The following is a 7,234-nucleotide window of genomic DNA, read 5'->3' on the forward strand; positions in this document are numbered from 1 at the left end:
TTCAATAAATGGTGCTAGGATAACTGGCTAGCCATATGTAGAAGATTGAAACTGGACCCCTTCCTTACATGATATACAAAAATTAACTCAAGATGGAATAAATACTTAAATATAAAACCCAAAACTACAAAAACTCTAGAAGAAAACCTAGGCAACACCATTCAGGACATAGGCACAGGCAAAGATTTCATGATGAAGACTACAAAAGCCAGTGCAACAGAAGTGAAAATTGAAAAATGGGATCTAATTAAACGAAAGCGTTTCTTCTGCACAGCAAACGAAACTATGAACAGAATAAACAACCTATGGAAGGGGAGAAAATGTTTGCAAATTATGCATCCGACAAAGGTCTAATATCCAGCATTCATAAAAAAACTTAAACAAATTTACAGGAAAAGATACAAACCCCGTTAAAAGTGGGCAATGGACTTTGAGCACTAAACTCTGATTTTTTTATCTTGCCCAAATTTCTATCTAAGGAATCTGGGGAGTCGTGCCCTACAAATCATAAATTCTCATCAGATGGGTTTTATTTAACCCCATATATTGTGACTTACTTTCCAACCTGACTTTGGCATAACCTTATGAGACGAAGAAGAAAATAAAATATTTTACCCCAAAACATGTTTCTTTGCTGTATCTTTAAATGGGCCTGCAAAGCTGTCCTTTGTTGGGGGAAATTTGCATCTGTAAAGAATCTCTATTAACACAGCTAGATCTTTTTCTCCCAGGCCCTCCCAATCCTAAAGAGATTAACTAAAACTCTAGCACCTTTTAAAGATCTGAATAGGAAACATTTGTCATCTATTGTCTCTAAAGGCAGCCACTATAAGACTTCAAAAGAACCTTGGTCTCCACAGTCTTTTATCTTAACCTGAACATTTCCTTTCTATGATCCCAGATCTTTAGATAAACTCAACCAATTGTCAACCAGAAAAATGTTTAAATTTACCTATAGCTTGAAAGCCCTCCCCACTTTGAGTTGTAAATGTATTTGACTGATGTCTCATGCCTCCCTAAAATGTATAAAACCAAGCTGTACCCTGACCACTTTGGGCACATGTTCTCAGGCCCTCCTGAAGGCTGTGTCATGGGCCAGGGTCACTCATATTTGGCTCAGAATAAATCTCTCCAAATATTTTAGAGTTTGACTTTTTGTCAACAACTTGAACAGGCATGTTTCAAAAGAAGACATATATGTGGCCAAAAAAACATATGAAAAAAAGCTCAACATCACTGATCATTGGAGAAATGCAAATCAAAACCACAGTGGGATACCATCTCACACCAGTCAGAATGGCTATGAGAACACATGGACACAGGAAGGGGAACATCACACACCGGGGCCTGTTGTGGGGAGCGGGGGGCGGGGAGGGATAGCATTAGGAGATATACCTAATATTAAATGACGAGTTAATGGGTGCAGCACACCAACACGGCACGTGTATACATACGTAACAAACCTGCACATTGTGCACATGTACCCTAAAACTTAAAAGTATAATAAAAAAAAAGAAAATAACAGCAGCTGGTGAGGTTGTGGAGAAAAAGGAATGCTTATATACTGTTGGTGTGAGTATAAATTAGTTCAACCATTATGGAAGACAGTGTGGCAATTCCTCAAAGACATAAAGACAGAAATACTGTTTGATCCAGCAATGCCATTACTAGGTATATACCCCCCAAAACATAAATCATCCTGTTAGAAAGACACATGCACGTGTATGTTCATTGCAGCACTATTCACAATAGCAAAGACACGGAATCAATCTAAATTCCCATCAATGTTAGACATTGTAATGTGGTACATTTACATGATGGAATACTATGCAGCCATAAAAAGGAACAAGATTGTGTCCTTTGCAGGGACATGGATGGAGCTGGAGGCCATTATCCTTGGCAAACTAATGTAGGAACAGAAAAATCAAATACTTCCTATTCTCACTTATAAGTGGGAGCTAAATGATGAGACCACATGGACACATAGAGGGGAACAACACACACTGGGGCCTATCAGAGGGTGGAGGTTAGGAGGAGGGAGAGGATCAGGGAAAATAACTAATGAGTACTAGGCTTAGTATCTGGGTGATGAAATAATCTGTACAACAAACCCCCATAACACAGGTTTACCTATGCAACAAACCTGCAGATGTACCCCTGAACTTAAAATAAAAGTTAAAAAAAATTAAAGCCAGAAGAAAAAAAAAAAAGCAACAAAATGTTGAAGTGGTTAATTGCTTGAGGTTGTTTGGGAGCAGTTTTGCCCAGGGATAGGACATAGGGCTTCTCCCCACAACATACAGGAAGGGTGACAGAAAAAAGAGAAGGACCTGCCTCATGATTCTCTATTACACTGTCATGTCCATACACTCTTCTGCACAACAAGTCTATATTGTGTTTCCTATTTCAAATGAAATTTTGCATTTGGCATTACAGTTTTCTTCTTGCCTTTGTCTTAGATGTGCTTCTTTGATTTCTGTATAGCTGTGTCATTTTGTCTTATTTAGTAGCATCATTTGCAATTTCATGAGCAGTTAGCATACTGAAAGAATGAATGATGTTACTTGTTTTCCCTGGCCAAAGACAATTTTTATGTAACCCTCATTCTTGCCACCATAGTCAGTTATTTGTTCATTATTTGACAAGTTCATACAATTTTTTATTCCAGTTAATTTAAAAGGAATGCAGGATTCAATAAAACATCTATTATTAATGTGTTTTAGTTATTTAAATGGGAGTACAGGATTCTGGCTGTGGAGGATCAGAGCTAGAAGATACTTTAAAAGTGTACTATAATAATGTTTTTCAAACTTTAATATGCATATGAATCAACCAGGGTTGTATTTAAAATGCAGAGTTGGCATGGGGCCTGGGTTCTGCATTTTCAACAAGCTTCTAAGTGAGGTCAATGAGACTGATCTACAAACCACACTTTGATAGCAAGGTACAATGACACAAGTAAAAATACCCCAAAATATCGTATTTCTACAATTATATAATAAATACAACTTAAAAATTCTCTGTTTGACTGTATCTTACACTTGGGCCATGAATCCATCAGGAAGCTCAGCAAATGCCACTGCTATAGTGTGACATTTAAATTAAAAATAGATCATTCAGTGGGCTGTGCATGGAGGCTCATGCCTGTAATCCCAACATTTTGGGAGGTTGAGACTGAAGGACGGCTTGAGGCCAGGAGTTTGAAACCAGCCTGGGCCATATAACAAGACCCTGTTTCTACAAAAAACAAACAAACAAACAAAAAAATTAGCTGAACATAGTGGCACACACCTATAATCCTAGCTACTTGGGAGACTGAGGCGGGAGGATCCCTTGAGCCCGGGAGTTTGAGGTTGCTGTGAGCTATGATTGTGCCACTGCATCCCAGCCTGGGTGACACCTAAACTCTGTCTCTGTTTGTTTTATATGAGTTATGCTGAAGTTACTTCTACGGAGTGATATTTTTTATCCCATGATGTCCTGAGGTGGTATCACTCTCTGGTGGCAGTTGCCCTTGCTGTGGTCAATCCCCATCACAGATTAGGCTATGTAGTCACTTACTTTCCAAAGGTAAAGAAAAAAACAGTGTTTTTTTACTGAACTATAGTTACCTTGGCATACTTACACAAAAACACTCAGTGTATTATAAAAATAAGGCCTGGCCAGGTGCAGTGGCTCATACCTGTAATCCCAGCACTTTGGGAGGCTAAGGCAGGAGGATCACTTGAGGTCAAGAGTTCAAGATCAGCTTGGACAACAGAGTGAGGCCCTGTCTCTACAAAAATTAAAAAAAAAAAATTAGTTGGGCATAGCATGTGCCTGTTGTCCTACTACAGGACTATCTACTCTGAAGGCTGAGATGGGAGGAGTGTTTGAACCCAGGAGCTCAAAGTTGCAGTGAGCTATGATCATGCCAACGTACTCCAGCCTGGATGACAGAGTGAGACCCTGTCTCTTAAATAAATAAATAAATAAATAATAAGGCCTGGTGTTATGTGATTTCATTAAATTAAAATTCATGTGGAGGAAAAGAAACACTTGAATGGTATAATATTCTAAGTTCAGATTTAGTTTATATTGAATTCTTATAGCATTCTGGGTTAAATATAAAACTTTTAAAAGAAAATAGCAGGAAAAGTAGAATTAATTATATTGGCAAACATTTTATTATTCAAATGAGTAGTTACCACTTTGCTTAAAAATAGCTTTAGAGTGGTGTTTGGAACCCATTTTTTCACATGCTTGTAATTCAGCATAATTTTAGCAGACTTTTTCATCTCTGATAAAAAAGGGCTTCTTTTGGCTGGAAAGGTACCACCCCTGTTTTCCATTTTACTCATGCATTCCATACACAGCCTGTGTGTAATAGTAATAAAGTTGTGTGGTAGACGCTTAACCTGGCTCGTGAATGTGGTATTCCTCCTTTGCCATTTGTGCTTTTTCTCTGAAACTGAAAAAGGCGCCAGAAAAGTACAGAGAGAGTGCACAGTTTCTCCTGAAAGTGTTATGGCTGCCCCGTCTCTGTTGACATCTATTAAGATTCAGGCAACAGGAGATCCTCACTTTAAGGTACAAGGGAGTGTTATTTTGGCTTTACATGAGGTGGTGGTGGTTGTTTTTGTCTCTGAACATCTTCAACTCTCTCAGGATTGTGCTGTGTACTAAAAATAAAACAACTATAGCTTGTGATTCACTTTGTTTTCACTGAGTCAGGGCTGTAGATTCCAGGAAAGATTCAATGACATAGGAGAGTTGTAAAAATGGAAATAAAATTGCTGAATCTGAAATGAAGATGATCATAGTAACTTGTGCATGCTAAAAATCAAGCCTAATATCTGGAAGCTCTGACTTCTTCTAGATTTTACATGAGGAAATCATTTTAATATTGTATTGTTACAGTGCTCATGATTACCTGGAACCCTTTGGGACTGTTTACATGGAGCTGTTCACCACGGATATTTGCATGAGAAATGATATATATTAGAATTTATTTTTAAAAGAAATCAGCAGGTCATATCTCTCCAAATCAATTTCACTCAAGGCAATACTTTTAATAAATTTTCAGCACAATTCAATCACCATTGTGGAAAGAAGGAATTAAAAACCTAGGTAAGGATGTGATTAGCCAGTATAGGCTTATACTGGCTATATAGACAGAACAGACAGACACCTACAATAGAAGAACTCTCCTGGCAGAACACTTTCTCTCACAACTCAAAAATTTCATCTTTAGAAATTAATTTCTATTGGCCTTGCAGGCTTTTGATCTTTTAAAGCTTTCACACTAAAATATAAACATGCTTTCAAGGCATAGTACATTAAAAATGCAGGAACTGGATTTGTACCTAGTTTGAAGGCAGTGTTCAAATAGTGCCTAAGGTATATCTCTAGTAATGTGTCTTTGAAAAGTTGGGTTCAACATTTTAAAATTATTTTGTTAAAATGACATACTCATTAAATTGGCAAATGATGAAGCTGGGAGACATAGCTAATATGTCAGATGATAGCATTAAAATCTAAGTGATCCTGATTAGCTGGAACAGGAATAGAAGGCTAAATTTAAGAGAATGAAATTTTTTGACCACTAGAGTTAAAATGCTGCTTTTTTCTTTTCTTTCTTTTTCTTTTTTTTTAGGTGACTAAACAACAACCATCAACAAACCCGTACATAATGTATAATGTAGCACATGTGGTAACATCTTAGGGGTACTGTTGACTGTAAACTTAAAATAGGTGACAGTGTGATGTGGTTGCAAAAACAAACAAAACACCCCCTGACAAAAATCCCTTAAACTCATAATGCAAACATTGATCATATCACAAAGGAAGTGATATCCTCTCTTCCCTGTAAAACATATGTGGTGGATTGTGTTTAATTCTGGGTGTCACATTTTGAAAATGACTGATCTACTGGAGTATATTCAGAGAAGAGTGAATTGAAGCCGTATCACATGAGTTGTAGTTGAGAATAGAAAATGCATAAAATGGAACAGAGGAACTTGGATGGACTTGATTCTATCTTTAAATAGCTAAAAGATTTCACGTAGAAGAATTATATTCCAGGACACCCCAGAGGCCGATTTAGAAGCATGAGCATGTTAGAGAGACAGAAAGGTATATTTTGGTTAAAAAGTTATCTGTAAATGGATGTTTTTCTTTAAAGGAATTCTGCCATAACTAGAAGTTCAAGTATTTGAGCGGAGACTTGTCAACTATTTGTCAGGGATCTTGTGGTAGATATTTTATGTTTAATACTTTCTGCTATTCTTAGTGAGCATCTTAAAGGACATCAAGGTGCAGTCAATAGTGGAATACAAATTAGGTGCTGGGAGTTAGGGAGAAATAGTACAAGAAGGAGAAGTAATCTTAAAAAGAGAGAATACCAAGTCAGACTTTTTTTTTTTAAACATTTAGTGGGTACACGTGGAGGTTTGTTACATGGATATATTGCATGATGCTGAGGTTTGAGCTTCAATTGAATCACCCAAACAGTGAGCATAGTATCCAATAGGTAGTTTTCAACCATTCCCCATGTCCCTCTCCCCCTTTTAAGAGTCCCCAGGGCCTATTGTTCTCATTTTTATGTCCATGCCTATGTAATGTTTAGGTCTCACTTATAAGGGAGAACATGTGATATTTGGTTTTCTGTTTCTGTGTTAATTCGCTTAAGATAATGGCCTGTAGCTGCCTCCATGTTGCTGCAAAGTGCATAACTTTGTTCTTTTTTATGGCTGTGTAGTATTCCATGGTATATATGTGTCACATTTTCTTTATCTAATCCGGTATTGATGGGCACCTGTATTGATTCCATGTCTTTGCAATTGTAAATTGTGCTGTGATAAACATGTTAATACAGGTGATGTTTTGGTAGAATGATTTATTTTTCTCAGTAATGGGATTGCTGGGTCGAATGGCAATTCTGTTTTTAGTTATTTGAGAACTCTCCAAACTGCTTCCCACATGTGCTGAGCTAATTTACAATCCCACCAACAGTGTATGAGTGTTTCCTTACTCGGCAATCTCACCAATATCTGCTATTTTTTTTTACTTTTTCATAGTAGCCATTCTGACTGGTGTGAGATGGTATCTCATTGTGGTTTTGATTTGCATTTCTCTGATTATTAGTGATGTTGAGCTTTTTTTTTTTCATATTTCTTGGCCACTTGCGTGTTTTCTCTTGAGAAACGTCTATTCATGTTCTTTACCCACTTTTTAATGGGGTTGGGGTTGTTTG

The 7,234-nt window shown here is 37.2% G+C and overlaps 2 annotated features.

Moving 5' to 3' along the window:
• Positions 223-813: an enhancer, noted in NCBI's record as "OCT4-NANOG hESC enhancer chr14:45763672-45764262 (GRCh37/hg19 assembly coordinates)". NCBI's record gives its function as "activates a minimal SCP1, AML or CMV promoter by ChIP-STARR-seq in naive H9 embryonic stem cells {active_cell/tissue: H9 hESC(naive)}" and the evidence as "EXISTENCE:reporter gene assay evidence [ECO:0000049][PMID:30033119]".
• Positions 814-1,402: an enhancer, noted in NCBI's record as "OCT4-NANOG hESC enhancer chr14:45764263-45764851 (GRCh37/hg19 assembly coordinates)". NCBI's record gives its function as "activates a minimal SCP1, AML or CMV promoter by ChIP-STARR-seq in naive H9 embryonic stem cells {active_cell/tissue: H9 hESC(naive)}" and the evidence as "EXISTENCE:reporter gene assay evidence [ECO:0000049][PMID:30033119]".

Source organism: Homo sapiens, chromosome 14 (assembly GCF_000001405.40).
Source record: "Homo sapiens chromosome 14, GRCh38.p14 Primary Assembly".
Lineage (NCBI taxonomy): Eukaryota > Metazoa > Chordata > Mammalia > Primates > Hominidae > Homo > Homo sapiens.